The following is a 20,316-nucleotide window of genomic DNA, read 5'->3' as shown; positions in this document are numbered from 1 at the left end:
TTTAGCCATAGGCACGACATAACGACATCTGCATTTTAGGAAAAACCTGACTTTAAGGTTGAGAGTGAATTGGGAAGATGTTTACAGCAAAGGCAGAGAGATGTAATGAAACAGTACAGGTGAGAGAAGTTGGATGTTTGACATCGGGGGTTGAAAACAGGAGTGGATATAACAGCTATGTGTTAAAAATGCAGTTAACAGGAATTGGCGAATGGGGAAAAGGGATGAGAGATAAGAATAAGTAAAGATAGTTTCCGAGTTTCTAGATTGGGTTTGGTAGATGGATAGTAATGTAATTCATAAAAATATTGCCAAAGGTAGGTAGGACAGATTTAAGAAGGATAGATGAATTAATTTAGTTTTGAATATGTTGAGGCTATAGTATAGCTATTCAGGAAGCAAATGGAAAGAATGATTTGTGTTTCAGAAAGATATTTGACTTAGAAACACAGATTTGAAAGAAATAAAAGTAGATAGATAAAACTATGAAAGTGGATGAGGTCAATTCAGAGATAATGTACTGAATAGGGAAAAGAGGAGAGGATGGATCCCTGGAATCAACAACATAATGAGATGGAGAAAATGGTGGGACTGAGGCTATAGGAGAAACAACTCTAGAGTGCCACTTCACGGAAACTGAGGGAGGCTAATTTCAAAAACAACAGTTTAATTTACTGTGTTCAGTAACGCCAAGAGGCTAATAAAGAGAACCCTTTGAAGTTGGCAGCTTCAAAACATAAGCAACTGAATGGTTAAAGCTTATGCATCTCTCCCAAAACAGTGTATGTTTACTCTTATCTCTAAAAAAACTAGACCTATTCTAATTCAGACATGTGGATGTCTCACCTGTAAAAAAATTTATCTCCACCAAAGATTTTCTTTCTTGTATCTAACTTTATTCCCTTTGGTTGCAGTTTTAGTCACTTTATTCTTCTCATGAAGATGGTAGACAATGTGATCTGGACTATGTGATAATGTACCAGAAATGCAGAAATCATGAATTTGGATTCTTTTTTCTCTTTCCTCCTCAAGTCATTGATAATGGCGCTTAGCAATTCCAGCTGGAGGCTACCCCAGCCTTCTTTTTTCCTGGTAGGAATTCCGGGTTTAGAGGAAAGCCAGCACTGGATCGCACTGCCCCTGGGCATCCTTTACCTCCTTGCTCTAGTGGGCAATGTTACCATTCTCTTCATCATCTGGATGGACCCATCCTTGCACCAACCTATGTACCTCTTCCTGTCCATGCTAGCTGCCATCGACCTGGTTGTGGCCTCCTCCACTGCACCCAAAGCCCTTGCAGTGCTCCTGGTTCGTGCCCAAGAGATTGGTTACACTGTCTGCCTGATCCAGATGTTCTTCACCCATGCATTCTCCTCCATGGAGTCAGGGGTACTTGTGGCCATGGCTCTGGATCGCTATGTAGCCATTTGTCACCCCTTGCACCATTCCACGATCCTGCATCCAGGGGTCATAGGGCACATCGGAATGGTGGTGCTGGTGCGGGGATTACTACTCCTCATCCCCTTCCTCATTCTGTTGCGAAAACTTATCTTCTGCCAAGCCACCATCATAGGCCATGCCTATTGTGAACATATGGCTGTTGTGAAACTTGCCTGCTCAGAAACCACAGTCAATCGAGCTTATGGGCTGACTGTGGCCTTGCTTGTGGTTGGGCTGGATGTCCTGGCCATTGGTGTTTCCTATGCCCACATTCTCCAGGCAGTGCTGAAGGTACCAGGAAATGAGGCCCGACTTAAGGCGTTTAGCACATGTGGCTCTCATGTTTGTGTCATCCTGGTCTTCTATATCCCGGGAATGTTCTCCTTCCTCACTCACCGCTTTGGTCATCATGTACCCCATCACGTCCATGTTCTTCTGGCCATACTGTATCGCCTTGTGCCACCTGCACTCAATCCTCTTGTCTATGGGGTGAAGACCCAGAAGATCCACCAGTGAGTGCTCAGGGTGTTTACACTAAAGGATTGACCTGAATATATTCTCACTGTTTCCTTCAGAGGCACCTGCCAGGACATAGCCAGGAACTCATGGCTGGTGCAGATTATATGGATGGGGTAATTTTCACAGCGAGCAGTCCTTCTAGTGTCACATATCACAGCAAAGAATATCCAGAGGCACCTGGCTTCACAGCTTATTGGGATGTATCTGGATACCTGAATTTGTGAATAGTTTTTCCATTCTTTCTTTTGCTCCTGATTCCAACATTTTCCTACTCCTGTGTCAGAGAGACTTGAGGACAGTAGAAATGGATGACAGCTCTGGATGTGTCATCTTTCCTGCCATTGCCCAGTGATAGACTATGCAACATTCTCTGGAATGGCAATGGGAAGTCCCACCCTCAGCTTGGTTTTAGGTTTAGAGTGTCTTCCAAACCTCTAAGTTTGTGCTGGCAGCACATTTACATGGTACAGCCATTCAGCTAAATGCTAGTGTTAACCCTTTAGATGAACCTTTTCGTGTCTTTTAGGATGACTTAGATTCCTTTACTTTTCTGCCACATCAAAATGCATAAATTAGGACATTTCTAAAATATTTATTATGCATATTATAAATGACTTTTTTCTTGCATTTACTCTTTTCTTTAAGGGATGAGTTTCTCCGCTTGTTCAGCCTGGTCCTTTCTTCACGATACTAGTTTTTTCTCAATTATTTGTAGATTTTTACTCTTATTTGTTTGTAGATGAGAATTAAATGGTTGGGTCCTCGCTGTGAGTTTTCTCAGAGCCTGTAAAGGTCACTGCTCTTGTGCCCCAATTGTAGGACTTTGTAGGTCATTGTACACGGATTTGCTAACAGACAGAATTCTCCTCAGGCTGTCAAGAGGAAAATGAAAGATGAGCTGCATTCCCTCATCTTTTGCTGAAGTAGAGAAGCTTTTATATCTGCAATCAGAGATAATCTGGTATAGTTTGCTGACCTGTGGAGCTGCCTCTCCATACCTTTTCTCTATTTGTAACTTGGAGAACCAAAGTTACCTTGTAATTGCCTCTGATTACATCTGCCCCACTGCAATTATAGGGTTTGAAGATACAAAGTTGCCTCTTGCATTTTATAGGGAGCCAGGTTTCATACTAAACTGATCCAATTGCTGGAAGTAGAATAACAATAAATTAATCAATGCACTAATTAATTGCTTTCAATTACTGTTATCATTTTATTGATTTTAAACTTGGAGTATCCCTTGGGATCTCTTAAAATTTTTAGATTTTAAAAATAGATTCAGGGGTTACATATGCAGGTTTGGTACAGGGATATATTGTGTAATGATGAGGTTTGCACCCTGAATCTCTTAATGAGAACATTTCCCAGCCCTGCATCAAGCTTTAACTTTTCCAATTCCTCTTCCCCTATAGTTCCCACCCTCCACATATACATAACTACACATTGGTTTGCAGGTTTTTGGGTCCCAGTTTTTCTATGAATCCAATTTAGTCTGATTTATGAATTCCAAAAATTTCTCAAAGTATATGATGCAATCCAAGTATATTTGCTCATATTCTATATTGTTATTGCATTATTTTCATTTTTATATTTCTTTAGCAATTTAATGGGTACACTGGGAGAGAGAGAGGAAGTAAACAGTGTTTGCAATCCAATGTCTTGAATTGGAATGATTACAATTCTAGCAAAATTTGTGATATTACTTGTGCTGTGTATATCTTTCATGCTAGATTGTAGGCTTCAGGGAGGCAGGATTCTTTTGTCTTCCATGTACTTCTCATTACCAAGTGCCTGTCATTTTTCAACACAATATACACCCTCAATAATTATTTGTGATAAGAAATATTATAGTCAATGAATACACAAAATTGATACCTCTGCAGTGAGTGCTCAGTTTTTCCTTTTAATAATTTTTAGTGTCATTTTCTATGTAGGACTAGGGGAACAGATCTCCCATTCTAGAATTAGATCCTTCTCCACCTGGAGGAGACAGGGTACGTTTTTGAGAGGAAGAAGCTCAGTAGTGCTGTCAGAGATTAAAAGTGCAGATTTCTCGCTAGCCCATTCACACTCTTAGCAGTAGCGAATGTCCACAAGGAATTAAATAGGGGTCAAAATCATAACAATTAGAACCCAGTAACTTCCATATCCAGGATTGTCTGGTTATTCATGGTTGGAAAATACAAGTGGGACCAGGGGACAAACAAGAGACCCTCAATTCCCTTCCCTTAATTCTAGATCTTGAGATTTCTTCCTACTCCCTTCCCCTATCCATGAGGAGATTTGACCTGGAAAATTAGGCTCCAAGTATAATTTGCCAGCCATCTGCACGGAGGACTATAGGACCCCATAAACAGAACCCCTAGCAGAACATAAAATGCAATACAGATCACGGTTATCTTCTAGGTTTCTCTCCCTAGAAGGAAAATCATGGGCTTTTCTGCAGGTGAGGTTATGGTATTCGAGTATAAAGCAAAGGAGTCCACTGCCATCCTTACATATCCATGAGGCAGGCAGTGAAACAGGTACAGCATGTTTCATACCATTGCAGCCATTGCTTCCAACAATCTCTTCAATTGTATTAGTGATCCTTCTTTCCATATGGAAAAGCAAGCAAAGGAAGGGAGAAGAGGAGAGGAAAGAGAAGTATTCACTCCCATGTTTCCCCTTGTGGTGAGAAGAAAAGCCTCCCTCCGTGGAAGTGTAAAGTGGAGGAAATGAGATTCTTCCCTAACTGGCAGAATGTGGGCTCTTTCTCATCCTTTGGGTGAGGGAACTTAGAGCCTGTTGATAATGTTACATGGGGACTTGGAAAGCCACAAGGAGGGGGTGGGGCATTTTTGTGTGTGTTTGCTCATAAATCATATCTCAATAAATTCCAAAGGAGTGAAATGTTACAGAATATATTGTCTTACCAATGCAGAATTAAATTGAACAACAATAACAACAGGATGGCATGAAAAGCCCTAAACATTTGGAAACTAAACAAAATATACATAAATAATCCATGGATCAAATAATAAATCAGAGGGAAAGTTAGAAAATATTTCAAACTGATTGATAATGACATATAGCAAAAGTTGCAGGATGCAGCTAGAGAGAAAATAGAAGGACATTTATAAATTTAAATGCTTATGTTAGAAAAGAATAAAGATTTAAAATTAATTACCTAAGTTGACAACTTAATAATTTAGAAAAGAAACAATAAATTAAACCCAAGGTAAACAAGAGTAGGGAATTAATAAAGAGAAGAGCAGAATAAATAAAACAGAAAACAGAAACAATAGATAAAATCAACAAATCTTTAATTTGGTTTTTGGGAAAGATTAATAAAGTTGATAAAGCCCTAGTAAGACCTATCAAGAAAAAAGAAAGAAACACCAAGAATCAAAATGATGATTTAAAAAGGAGTTACTACTACAGATCTTACTAGACATTAAAATGACAGTAAAAGAAATGTTACAAGGAACTTTAAACCAGTAAAAACAGTACTTTACTTATGAGCTATGAGGACACACATGTTATGTGAATTCCAGCCATCAAACACCATAAGTGCAGACTTGTGATTAGGAATTCTCAAGGGGTAGTCTCTCCTCCCCTCCTCCCCTCTTTCCTTTTCTCCTCTTCTCTCCTCTCCCCTTCCCTTATCATTTCCTTCCCTTTACCTTGTTTCCTCTCCCTCCTTCCTTCCCTGCCTCTCTCTCATTCTCTAATCTAGTGCCAAATCCAAGACAACAGGTATCCCTATCATATTCATTTTCTGTAATTCCTCTATTTTTACCCACTAAGAATGTCTTCTTTCTCAGGTCCTGGCCTTAAAGGGCCCTCTGATATGGACTCCTAGCTTCCTCAGGCTCCAGGCTTTGAATCTTATTTCCAGCAAATGTTATCTGAAAAACCCATTCTGAGCTCTCTCTATGCTGATGACAGCATAATGAGAAAAAACCCCACATATTAGAGGAAGACATAAGCATCAGAGGTAGAACTTTATATTTTTTAGTTAGTTCCAAACTGGAGAAAAGTCTGAAGCATGTGTGAGGAGTCTCTACCCAAAAGAAAAGATGAAGACTCAAAGGAATTAACATGAGTTACATATAAAATCGTGCAACTGATAATAGTTAGCTCATATAGTGCTTCCTATGAGACCAGCGCTGTTGTAAGTGCTATTTATATATATATAGACTCTTAATCTTCACAAGCAATCTACAAGACAGGTCACTATTATTATCTTCATGTTAAATACGGAAACTGAGACCCAGAGAGGGAAAGTGATCTGTCCAAAGTAACGCAGCTAGGAAGTGATGGTGCTGGAATTTTAATCCAGACAGCCTACAGTCTTTCTCACCATAGGTCCTTGCCCTCCACTAGCCTGCCTCCTATGCGCACTGTTGATAATTTGCATTATCAAGATGCCACTCCATGCTGCATTTTAATGTTTCAGTTTGCTCTGGCAAGTAGTTTTCCACATATCACCAAATATGTAAATAACTCAGTCCTAGCATCCCATTTGGAGGGTTTGGTATTGAGTCCCCTTCTGTTACCAATTACTGTATCATTTATGATCTAAGCAGGAAAGAGGGAATACAAGAAAAGGATTTCACGAAAAGGAGCTTAATAAAGGGATAATTTGTAGAGGTGATGGGAGGGTCGAGGAAACCAACAAGAAACATCTAGGAGCTAGCAAGAACAGGAAGCACCTCCAGACCTAAAGGGCAAGGACAGGCAGCAACATTCCTTAAGCCTAGGGAGCCCTGGAGCTGTGTAAGAGATGCTTCCCAGTAAAATTTCTGGCTATAGAGAAACACAGCCACTGACAGAACTGCATAAAAACAAAGGGGTCCCTCTTTCTCTTTCCATATCTCGATCCCTTTCAGGTGGCCCCTATTGTTTGAACTGGAAGCCAGGGAGTCATGTTAGAAAGCCCAGCTGAAGCAGGCCACAGAGATCAGCCTCCTCAAGCACGGAGCAGATAAGAGAAGAAAATGGATTTGTAGTCAAGTAATAAATAAACAGCACACTGGGTTAAACCCAACTGTTTGCCTTTTCTAAGGTTGGACCTAGGAATTAAAGTTAAGAAAAAAATCACATAATGCAGCGATTGGCTTCAGTTTAACTTCATAATCACAAACCCTGAAAAGGCATTAAGCAATGACTATGGTAGAAATAATCATTCACTGAAAAAGTGGTTCTGAATACACTGGAGAGGTAAGAGGGAGACAGATGTATGATCTTGAATAATTAATTAGGTAGAAGTGTCTTGATTCTACTGCATTGTAAACATTGTACTAGACACCATGTTAATGGGGAACAAAATTGACATGGATCTAATCCTGATGAAGCTTACAGTCTAGTTCATGTGTAGTTTTGAGTAGTCCCTAGTAGGAAAGTTGGTTTTGTTTTATGAACAATGAGAAACTACTGATACCATAATGTAATGCAATTACTGTAATAAAATTTTGATGAGGGCAGGGACTGTAACTACTTTAGTCACCTTTTATTCCTGTGACTAATCTTGTTCTGGACATATAGTTGACGATAATGAATAGGTATTTATTGAATGACTGAGATTTATGTATAGTAAGTTAGCTACCAAAATTCATGCAGAGATCAAATAGCAGAGTTGAGTTCAGGATTCTGTAAGAAGAAGGGAATTGTATAGGTATATTAAAAATTCTGGCTGGGTGCAGTGGCTCATGCCTGTAATCCCAGCACTTTGCAAGGCTGAGGCAGGCAGATCACCTGAGGTCAGGAGTTTGAAACCAGCCTGGCCAAAATGGCAAAACCCCATCTCTACTAAAAATACAAAAATTAGCCAGGCGCAGCGGTGGGCACCTGTAATCCCAGCTACTCAGGAGGCTGAGGGAGGAAAATCATTTGAACCCAGGAAGCAGAGGTTGCAGTGAGCAGAGATCGCACCATTGCTCTCCAGCCTGGGCGACAGAGGGAGATTCCGTCTCAAAAAACAAACAAACAAACAAAATCTGAAAAGATTTAATATAAGGAAATCTATCAATATAATATTTCAAGATGTTGAAAGTAGAATACGGAAATGTTTAAGAGAATGGTCTGTGTAGTCAAGCAGATAGATACAGATTGGAATTTCAACAAGCTAAAGTCCTGTTCCCTGCATCTCAACCACAGGCACTCAGTAGCCCCTTAATATAAGCTAAGAGGAGGGCCCCTGCAAGGGAGCCAGCTCATCAGCTGCTGAGTCCCAGTCTCCCAAACTACTGCTTTCAGCTAGCTTGTTGAAGAGGGTGGGACAGTGTGACGAACTGACTGTCCATCATAAAATCCTTTAGATTCTGAAGCAGTCTCAGCTCTGGTTACTGGATGCAGTCCGCTGACTCCTCAAGCAGGACCCAATCTGTTGCATCCTCTGTGAGTTCCAGGGCTAAGGGAGGGGAGCATCACTGCATTGGGCCAGTAGATACTGGGTCACCAGAGGACTCAGAAGAGAAAATTTTCTCCTCACGCTTATACTGGCTCCCATGAAAAAAGAAAAAAGTCTAGGAACTGTGGTGCTGGATGCACTAATATTTAAAATCCTGTATTCCTCCTGGAAGGCCCTTTTATACTCTCAGCAATCCCATTAGTGTTGCGTACAAGGGATCCCATGTGTTCTGTGGCTGAGAACTTTATGCAAGTGTGCCCAGAAAAGCATTCTAGGGATTTGAGAGGGAAAGAATGGTTCTAGGATAGCATTTTGAGTTTAACATGACACAGGGCACCCAGGTCCTTGAGGCTCAGCACAAGAGCTGGTGAGGAAATGTACTCATTGCCTTCTCCCAACATGTTCCAGTGTTAATGGGAGAGAAAGCTTCCTCTGATTATTAGACATGATTTATAGCCAGCAGGAACAGACTTCCCTGTGATTTTCTCCTAATTGCCCTAGTTTTCTCCTCTTCCCCTTAAAGGTCAGTCATATATTGGGAAGGTGTCGCTTAGTTAAAACATCTACACTTTAGTGAAATGTTTCTCATAATGAGTTTTTAATGTCTTCTTTATCCTGGGCACTTTTTCTAGGTGGTACAGTTTTAAATTGGTCCTTAAATCAGGGTGCATTGAATTGGACACAATATTCTAAGCATGGTTGAACAAGGGCAACATGAAATAGAAGTTATTTTCCTCTGATCACTGTTACTTCTGTTAGTACAGTATTCCTTTCTAATATTTCTCATTAACACAACATCAAAATTTGACTCGTATTCTTGTCTATACTGCCACCTGACAATACATCCAGGTATCTGACCACTTTTTCTCTGCTCCTATTTCTTTTTGTATCCCTTCTCTTATCCTTTATATTATGCGTGATCTTCTTAATAAAATCTATGTAGCAGAGGATGAGCTTAACTGGAATAATTTCCCACTATGTGAGGAAGGAATGAGGACTTGAAGAGGATGGATCAGAGTCTGAGAATTGTAAAGCACAATCATAGATGGGGACTACACATAAAAAACTGGAAAAAAAACATGTCAAGGAAAGAATCTTTCAGAGATAGTGGACTAAAGAAAAAAGAATGAGCAGAGGGTGAGAAATAAGGATATTGTAGGGTGAGGGGATATTGTCTGCAGTGAAGGATTGCAAGATCTCTAAGGTATTCTTTTTCATAAAGAAGGTAGTTTGGTGGTGCTGTGTGTATAAAGAAAAAATCGCCAGTAGGTCAGAGGACTGAATCAAGGATATCCCTTCCACCCCAAAGATTTGGGCTTTTGGGGCCACAGGGCCCTTAAATGGAATGACTTGTTTAAGATCCTCAAGCTTCCACAGGAAATTTGTGCCATTGCTGTCCCCACCTCTGGCTCACAGCTTGCTCAGCTCTTATTTATATTTTGAGTTCTTTCTTGTGGTTTGCCTCAATTCCTCCATCAGTTCCCTTGGTTACTTTGGTTAATGTTTTCGCATTAATTTTTTCCTTTTTGAATTATTTGAATCTTTTTTGAATCAAGCCAACAGTCACTTGTCCCCTTTTAGATGTCCTTTGCTGCTTTTGGTCCCTTAAGTTTGGGTGTGAAAGAGGAAGAAGAGATATATTTAGTATACTTCCCCCCAAAAATAAAATCATGGTCTTTATACTAAGTGGGGATGTGGGATAGATAAAGAAAATAATTAAGATATGACAGACTTGGAAAACTCAAAACTGTAAACTTGAAATATTTATCTCACTAGCATTTATTAAGAATTTATTGGCTGGGCGTGGTGGCTTACTCCTCTAATCCCCAGCAGTTTGGGGGGCTGAGATGAGCAGATCACTTGAGGTCAGGAGTTCAAGACCAGCCTTGCCAACGTGGTAAAACCCTATCTGTACTAAAAATACAAAAATTAGCCGGGTGTGGTGGCATGCACCTGTAATCCCAGCTACTCGGGAGGCTGAGGCAGGAGAACTGCTTGAACCCAAGGAGCAGAGGTTGCAGTGAGCCAAGATCATGTCACTGCACTCTAGCCTGGGTGACAGAGTGAGACTTTGTCTCAAAAAAAAAAAAATTATTGAGTGCTAGGTACTGTAAACACAGCATGGGATAAAAAGATGGAAAATATATCACATGTACTTTAGTGATTTTATAGTGGATTGGGGAAAGAGATGAGGAGAAAGGCCAGTGACGTGTTTTATACTGTATGAAGTAGTAACAGTAGTTGTTTCCCCAAGGGCTGGTCCTTTAATTATCTTTCTTTTTATCATTTATATTTTTCTTTCTACAGTCTTTAGCCCCTTAAACATATTCAAATTTCTTTTATTTAAAAAAAATCAACACAATCCTCTTTTTAACATAGGCACTTCTACCTGTGCATTCAGTTTTCCCTTCGTGTGAAGCTGTTTGCTGAAGTAAAGAATCTCTGACAAGGTGATCAGTCCTCCCTGTGTTTGTTCACTCCAGGCCTGCTGTCTCATTGTCCTCCCGCATCTGTTTCTCTCTTCACATGAAACTGTTTGCTAGGATCACCAATGATTACCTAATTGCCAAATGCAATGGATAATCTCTTTCTCACATTGCTGAAATTCTTTATGTGAGCATGTCTGTCCACTCCATTGGATTTTCAATTATGTCTCTGTTCATTCCTTTTCAGTTTCCTTGCAATCTCTTTACCTCTTCTGGTCCTAAGATTAAGGGTAGGTGTTTCATAGAATTTCATTATCATGTTTTATTTTAAATTTACATTTTTCCCTTAAGTAATTTATTCAGTTCTATAGTTTGAATTATACATGATGTGCTGATGATTTCCAATTCTCTATCTTTGAGCTTTCACATGAAATCAAACTACTTTCTACAACATTAAATGTCATATATATTGTGATAGTTTATACACCCAATAAGCTGAACATATCAAAATTGGTTCTATAATTTCTACCTCTGCAACATACATCAAATCTTTTCAAAGCCTATTTTTTTGTCTTGTGAAATTTACTTAGTCATTTAAGTCAGATTGGACAGTGCAGTTTTAGAATCCTACCCTCTTTTCTTCTATACAAGTAGTCTAATCGCTGTCTGTCATATTTATACCTCTAAGATATGCCCCTTTCCCTCATCTTCAGAGCCATCTCAGAGCCATTTATTCACTCACTGATCACTTCTCAGTTGGACTACTGAAGCCAACAGTCACTTGTCCCCTTTTAGATGTCCTTTGCCTCTTTTGGACCCTTAAGTTTGGGTGTGAAAGAAGAAGAAAGAGATTTAGTATATTTCCCCCCAAAATAAAATCATGGTTTTTATACTAAATGGAGATGGGGGACAGATAAAGAAAATAATTAGGATATGAAAGACTTGGACATTTTGAATATTTATGGGAAGGATTTAGGAGAAGTTTAATACATAGGGAATGGGCAGGATGATTCGTAAGTCAAGGTTCCTAAGGTCAAGGTAGATAGCATCCAAATGTGAGGTCAAGGATAGCTATTTGGAGGAGGGATAGATCCTTGATTCTACTGATGTAATGAAGAGATCAAGGATGTAGATGTTGATGGGTTTATGAATCTATCTTGGGAAGTAGAGGACTTGCATCTGATGTTTCTGCTGTCTTTATGAAGTGGTTAGAGAGTTATCTGAGAGAGGAGGAGATTTTGTATTTCAAAAGAACTTTGAAAATTTGAAAAGTTGCTTGAAATGGGTTGAGGAATGAATTAACCAGAGAAGATTATTGTGATGAGTATGTAATATGTATATTAAGTACTCATTTGAGGTTGGCAGTTACACATTTTAATGAGAAGAGCCTGTCTTTGAGCCTAACTTTCTATAGAAACAATGAATTGCACTTGTGCAGGCTTGGATTAAGTATGTCCAGGATGAGTTGTGTCAGCAGTACAGGAAGTCAGAATGACAGAGGTTTGAGTGATTCTCTTTTATATTTAATCAGTGTTTAACTTAATTTTCTTCTACTTTATAATAGGATTGGGAGTATATCATACATTTTTCCATTTCTCATCTATATCTCCTATCAGTATCTCATCAATTTTCTGGATGAGAAAGTGTTAGCAAATATTTTGACAACTTTGTTTTCCATTGACCTAATTCATGTGTCTTATCATACAAAAATCCAGGTGAAATTTTCTCAACTGAGAATTTATTTCATGACATTACCCAGCGATGACTCCACTGTCCCAGTCTCTGAATTCCTCCTCATCTGCTTCCCCAACTTTCAGAGTTGGCAGCACTTGCTGTCCCTGCCCCTCAGCCTCCTTTCCTCCTGGCCATGGGGACCAACACCCACCCCCCCCATCACCATCCACCTGGAGGCCTCTCTGCACCTGCCCCTGTACTACCTGCCCAGCCTCCTCTCCCTGCTGGACATCGTGCTCTGCCTCACCGTCATCCCCAAGGTCCTGGCCATCTTCTGGTTTGATCTTAGGTCGATCGGCTTCCCTGCCTGCTTCCTTCAGATGTTCATCATGAACAGTTTCCTCCCCATGGAGTCCTGCACATTCATGGTCAAGGACTATGATCATTATGTGGCCATCTGCCACCCACTGCAGTACCTGTCCATCATCACTCATCAATTTGTGGCCAAAGCTAGTGTCTTCATTGTGGTGCAGAATGCTTTGCTGCTTTCACCTGTTCCTATTCTCTCTGCCCAGCTCCATTACTGTAGGAAAAATGTGATTGAGAACTGCATCTGTGCCAACCTGTCTGTGTCCAGGCTCTCCTGTGATAATTTCACCCTTAACAGACTCTACCAATTTGTGGCTGGTTGGACCTTCCTGGGCTCGGATTTCATCCTCATCTTCCTCTCCTACACCTTCATTCTAAGAGCTGTGCTTAGATTCAAGGTGGAGGGGGTGGCAGTGAAGGCCCTGAGCACATGTGGCTCCCACTTTATCCTCATCCTCTTCTTCAGCACCTGCTGGTTGTGGTGTTGACAAATGTGGCCAGAAAGAAGGTCCCCATGGACATCCTGATCCTGTTTAATGTCCTTCATCCCTTTAGTCCTCCTGCATTAAACCCTATCATATGTGGATTTCAAACTAAAGAGTTAAAGAAGGAATTTTAGAAGTTGCTGCAGAGGGGCCTTTGAAAACACGGAAGGGACTCTCCATAGAAGCACCTATTACTGTTTCTATTTCAGAAGCTGTGATTCCAGAAAATAAACTAATGCTTAAATACTGAGTATTTCCTACCCATTTCTCTCTCTCCAGTATCAGGAATTAGTGAGGGCTCCTTAGTACCTGACATAAATTCATTTGCCTAGCTCATGTAACTAACATTCTTAGAGATTTAACTTTGTGTTTAGATATTTACATATTTGAACAATCTCATCCTCACAAAAATTCTGCAGGGTAGGATTATTATTCCACTTTATATATTAGAAAACACAAGTTTAGGGAGAAATACTGACAAAGGTCACATCTGATGAGTGGTGGGGCATCAATTCCTCAGACACCATTGAAGCCCTGGTTCTGCTCTGTAGGCCAGGATCTCTCCATCATTTTTATGAATTTGTTGCTGTCAATAGATCTTCTCTAATCACCCTCCACCTTCAGAGTCAAAAAGAACCAAACAGAGGAACAGAACCCAGAGATGTTGCCAATCTTTTTCTGACTGCCCAGGCTTCTGTCACCAAAAGATATTAATCATAGTACTAGTTTATGCCCAGTGGAAGGCTCACAAACCTTGAAATTCTTTATGACAAGACCAGGACACTGAGGATCCAGCTGGCAGAGGTAGGAATGAGAAGACCAGCAGTGTGGGAAGTGGTCAAACTGACTGTGGTGATTTGGGGGCATTCTGTGTACTCAAAACCACACCCCATATGCTTTGGAGCTCAAGAACCAGGAGTGTGGGGAATGTATGTATGGCATATTGTTAAATTTCTGGATGTCATAATCTGGTGAAAATGGGTGAAGAAACAACATATTATTGTAGATGGTAGGCAACGCTGTCATTATTTACATGGGTTATAGAAAACTGAGGTTCAGGCTCATTTAAGAACCTTACCCAAAGGTAAGAGATAATTCTTATTTGCAAAATTCCATAGGCTGAAAGCAAGGGCCACTGTATTAAGAGGTCCTTAAACACCAGTTCTGGTGAGTAGATCCCAAAAGTATTAACTTAAAAGCATTTGAAACATAGGCCAGGCATGGTGGATCATGCCTGTAATCCCAGCACTTTGGGAGGCCGAGGTAGGAGTTCGAGACAAGACTGGCCAACATGGTGAAACCCTGTCTCTACCAAGAATACAAAAATCAGCTGGGTGTGGTGGTGTGCACCTGTAGTCTCAACTACTCAGGAAGCTGAGGCAGGAGAATCACTTGAACCCAGGAGGTGGATGTTGCAATGAGCTGAGATCCCACCACTGCACTCCAGCCTGGGTGACAGAGCAAGACTCCATCTCAAAAAAAGAAAGAAAGAAAGAAAAAATAATGAAAGAAATGTAGAGGGTACTAAATCCTTGTTTTCATCAAATATAATTTTTTTTGTCCTATCAAATATCTTTTGAATTGCAAATTGCAAATATGGAATAAATAGATATATGCTATCTGGCATTAGAGTATAACAATATCTTGGTGAATGGTGGAAAGCAGGGGAGTTGCTTGATTCCTTTAATTGTGAAAGGAATGGAAAAGTGGTTATAAAGTATTTTAAAGCAATTTATTTAAAAGATGAGCAGAGCTTGGTTATCAATTGGATGTGTGGAGTAGATGAGAGGAAGAGAAAGGTGATTACATTTTCAAGTTTGTATGCTGACACTTCTGTGGGTTTTGTCAGCTTCACTCTTTGGTTATTCAAGAAATATTGATATAAGCTTCCCTTTTTTATGGGCTAAGACAGAGATTGGGCTCTCCAGAACCAAACGAAGTCAGAGATAATTCTTATTTGCAAAATTCCATAGGGTGAAAGTAAGGGCCACTATAATTTAATCTCTTGTTTCCATCAAATATGATCTTCTTTGTTCTGTGAAATATCTTTTGAATGTAAAATTGCAAATATTAGATGAACTAAAGCTTTAGCTGGGAAGAGATCTCTGCTAACTGTGGAGATGGATGAGGCTTATGCAGCCAGAAATCCAACCATGAGCCCAGTGAGAAGACAGTTGCCCTTGCTGGCCCTTGCTTTCACTCTATGGAATTTTGACTTGGAGGTTGTGCTTGCTTAGCTTCCTGAGAAAAGGTTTATAGTTACATGGTCTTCCCTAAGACAGTCTCGTTAATTCTGGTCACACATCTGATTGCACACACAAGAAAGAAAGTTTGGGTAGACGTTTTACTTAAAAACATTCAAATGCCATTCTTAATCCTGAAGGTCCTGCATTAGTTGCATTTCACTTGATTTCCCATTTCTGGATGCTGCTGCCCTTTTCCTATGCTAAAATTTATTTTTATCAAATGTTTTAGATACATTTTGGAGTCCCCAAATCATTCTGACCTCAGGTTCCTACAGACGTATATTTTCTTTCACTGTGATGCATAGTCCTTCTAAGATATGAAAGCTTCAGCTGTGAAATAGAACTCTATTTTATTTTATTTTTTTAGACAGAGTTTCGCTCTTGTTGCCCAGGCTGGAATGCAATGGCTGGATCTCAGCCCACCACAACCTCTGCCTCCCAGGTTCAAGAGATTCTCCTGACTCAGCATCCTGAGTAGCTAAGATTACAGGCATACGCCACCATGCCCGGCTAATTTTTGTATTTTTAGTAGAGACGGGGTCTCACCATGTTGACCAGGCTGGTCTAGAACTCCCAACCTCAGGTGGTCCACCCACCTCGGCCTTCTGAAGTGCTGGGATTACAGGCATGAGCCACCGTGCCTGGCCTGATCTCTCTTGACTGTGGAGAAGGATGAGGCTCATGCAGCCGCAAATCCAACCATGAACCCAGTGAGGAGATAAGAGTTAAATTGTGCTTTGATATGCTGGTATAGCATGATTTTATATACTCAAGAGGGACTTTAGCTGGTCAATATGAAGTAACAGGAGCTAGATTACCCTGTCACTTGAAATAACTAAAAGACTGAACAAAATATGTGAAATAATGTTTCTGAAGGCACTGGACATCAGGCAATGGAGGACAGTGATCCCCAAGAGATAGGAAACAAAAAAGGTGAGTCTTGTTTACTGGAAAGTGATTGTTTCAATTCGTTAGGGAGAGATTCCATGCTACGTCAAAGAGAGGGCAAACTCAGCTGCAGCCTGGCAATCTTTCTGTGTCGAGGAGAAGGGGAAGGGAGTCCAAAGAAGCTAGAGTTCACAAGGCAGAGTATTGAGGAAGAGAAAACTCCATAGAAAGAGAATCCTAAAGATTTATAGAAATTCCCCCTTGAGTGTTCAGCAATGTACTGATTAGCATATGCATGTGAGGGAACTTCATGAAGGGCTAAATATCTGAAATAAATTAGATATCTTCTATCAAGGAAGAAATGGAGAGGGGATGATAGTGAGACGGAAATGGGTGTTGAAAAGACAACTAACAGAGTCAAACATATAAGAAAACAACAAAATTCTGCATAATGTTCTGAATAACTTTTATGCCAATGAATTTGAAAAACTAAAAATTTAAAAATCACCAGTAGCTTCAGATAATAAAACTCAAATATATAAATAACCATTAAAAATTTGAAATATTAATTAAAGACCTTTTCCCAACAAAAGCTTCAGTACACTATGGGTTTATAGGTGAGTTCTAAAATTTTAAGAAATAGATCATCTCTATCATGCATGCATTCTTCAAGATAATAGAAAAAGATGGAAAATTTTTACCAACTTATTTTATGAAGCTAGAGTAACCTTGTCTCTAAAACTGGATAATGACAATTCAAACTGTGCAGTGTTTTCACCATGCATTTCATTGCAAGGCAACCCAAAGCCAATCAGTCCATTGTGTAATCAGCCCATTCCCCTGAGAGTCTCACCTCTCAGTAGGAGGTGGGTATGTTTCCATATCTTCCAGGTGGCCAAGGGCAAGCTTCTCTGATCCAGGCATGTAAAGAGCCAAGTATCTCTCCATAACTGCCATTAGCCATCCCTTAAAGTATATTTCCTACCTAGTTATTACACACCAAGGCTAAAAGCTCTCCCATAACACAAAGTAATTTTTGATACCCCCAAAAGTCAAAACTGTCAGGTAATACAATGCAAAACAGAACAGTGTCTTAGATTTTGAGAGGGATCTATTCTCTTTCCATTCTTGGGCTTCTGTGACGAAAACAGAGGTTTTTCCTAGGTTTTTCTGTGGTGCCTCCTCTGCTTTTCCCCAGGAGTCCCAGGCTGTTAGAATTTATCTTAGGTTCTCTCATGTGGGCATCAAGAGTGGGAAGAAGACAAAATGGAGAAAAACAATTCAGTCTACTGAAAAGAAAAAAACTTTCAGAAGAACATGATTCCAGAAGAGGAAAAAGATAAAGCTCTCTTAAATACATTTAACTTGGATATCTGTTTTTAATTAAGCTGATTTTAGCCATAGAGCTATTTTTTTCTAAAAAGAAATTCTTTTAAATCTTTTATTACCAGACTCTAGCTAGAACAGCCAATATTTCTGGCTTTTGAATTCTGCCATAGGTAATTTCCCACATGAAATTAATTAATAAGTTTTAACTAAGGTTAACTTAACTATGGATGCATAAGATATCTCAAAGAGACGGTAAGTAGTTTCTATTTTTACAAGATTTAGAATCTCCCCAAGGGTAGTTCAGGGAAAGGAAAATTCAAGACAGGAAATCAGAGGCTATCCATGGGCGAAAAAACCCTCAATAAATGGCAAAGTTACACAAATAACAAACCAGGAAGGAATGCTTCCGGAAGCCAAGAATTGAACCCTTGCCACAATTGTCAAAAGATAAAGCGTCAGCTACTGAGCTACACAGCATTGAGCAGTTTCTATTGCTCTTTCCAGAAGCCTAGAGCAGCCAATTTCAAGCATGAAAAGGCTTTTAACTGCTCAAGATAATTTTTAGGGCTAACTATAATGTGAACCCCCAAGTTTCTGTCCTCTAGATGGTGGAGACCAAGAGAAAATATCCCCACACAGTCCCAGGGTTAAGCTCTTAAGGACACAAAACAAGACGAAATTTCATTTGGTATTGGTTTCAGGGACACGCAACAAAGTTTGTAGCTGATTAGCCTGCTGGCCTGGCTTGAAAGCAGGGTTATACGGATCTCAAACCCACATTCTATCCTGTGATACCCCTGTCTCCATTACAGAAAGAAAAATTCTTAGCACAACGTGCATCAGATTTGCTACAGCCTAAGACTAGTCTCACAAATCCTTTTTTCTATCAATCAAACTCTTGCAGAGAAGACAAATAGTGACGTTTACCATTTATACACACACACACACACACAGAGTCAGAGAGAGAGAATAGAGAGAGAGAGTCAGAGAGAGATAGAGAGAGAGACACACACACACACACACAGAGGGAGAGAGAGAGAGAGAGAATGAGACGAGAAACTTGGCTGGTAAGAATTTCTTACCCTTTTTGCCAGCATACCAGGTTTCCAGGTTCCCTTTCTCTGTAGCTTCCAGAAGAATGGAGCAGCTTTTGATGACCCTGCTATCTGTGCCATAGCTGTGAGGGTCAAGCCACTTTACAAAAGAAAATTCTGTTTGATGAAGCCATGGAGAAAATATTCTCAATTTTGCAAGATGTTGCCCAATGGGCTACGTGGGGAAATGAATTAACATTTTCAATTCCAGCAAAATACACATAACAAAACAGATACTAGCCACCTCATTCAGCACCCAATATCAGCCTGGCAAAGCTCAAACTTTCTCCTTTTGGTCCCTGTTGTCTTTGATCCACTCCAAGTGAGAAGGGATGACCTCTGAATGGTAACTCACAATGGGTGGTCTCTGGGCAAGGCACAGAGCAAATAGTCACCCTGAGACAGGCCTGTTGAGCTTCCTTTAGGGCTCAACAAATGTGACCAGACCAATAAGGAGGGTTTTCTGAGTTAGGCCTGCTGAACTTCCATCAGCAAGTCCTTCTGAGGTCCCCTCCACATATATACACATATACAAAGACAAGACGGACAGAAGGCCTTCCAAATCAGATCCCTAACCAAGAACTCCAAGCGTATCCCTTCCAAACTATCCTGCTATTCTCTGTTTAAGAAATCTCCCCAAAACCTTCCTGAATAAGGAGAAGTCTCCCAAACCAAGACTTTACTAGTTAGGGAGAGCCAACCGAAACCCCCCAGGTTCTGAATTGAGACAGACATCCAGCAATGGGGCTACAGACAAAACGAGACCCCTGAAAGAGCCAAACCGAGACAGACACCCAGTAGCGGAGCTACAAACAGACACCCCACCATGGGGCTACAGACAGATACGCCACCATGGCGCTACAGAACCAGGAGAAGGAAGGAGGCACTGGCAGCACCTAGGATACTCACCAACCCAGACACACTGCAATGGGGCTACAGACACCCCACCATGGGGCTACAGTCAGACAACCTGTGATAGGGCTACAGTTATGGGAAATCTCCCCAGGACTATTTTTCCACTGCATTTAAATCCATACACATTGGGTCAGCAGTGCCCTGCTGGCAGAGATGGTACCAGAGTCAGCCTCTAGTCCAGGAGAACTAGGCGGCTGCTTGGGCTGGCCTCTGCTTGGGCTGGCCTCTAGATCTGTTGCCAGAGGGGAGACTATGGAACCATGGGCAGGTAGTCACAAGGACTATCCCAGACAAGCCCCCAAATTTGTAACCACCCAGTGGGTTCACATTGCCCGCTGCCTAGACAGAGCAGATTTATCAAGACGGGGGAATGCCAATGGCAATAGGAAATGAGTAATTCACACAGCCAGCTGTGGAGGAGACTGGAGTCTTATCGTCAGTCTCCATTATTTTAAAATAATGTTTAAAGTATTTAAGTGAAGATTGGTGGGATTTTGTTGGATATTAAATGATATACAATATTATATAATTTGCATT

At 40.5% G+C, this 20,316-nt stretch overlaps 2 pseudogenes; both read left to right on the top strand.

Annotated features, from left to right (window-relative positions):
* OR52L2P (olfactory receptor family 52 subfamily L member 2 pseudogene) lies at positions 942-2,053 on the top strand (annotated as a pseudogene).
* OR56A7P (olfactory receptor family 56 subfamily A member 7 pseudogene) lies at positions 12,526-13,463 on the top strand (annotated as a pseudogene).

This window comes from Homo sapiens, chromosome 11 (assembly GCF_000001405.40).
Source record: "Homo sapiens chromosome 11, GRCh38.p14 Primary Assembly".
In the NCBI taxonomy this organism is placed as follows: domain Eukaryota; kingdom Metazoa; phylum Chordata; class Mammalia; order Primates; family Hominidae; genus Homo; species Homo sapiens.
Note: the sequence above shows the minus strand (reverse complement) of the source record. Positions and strands in the feature narration are given on the sequence as shown.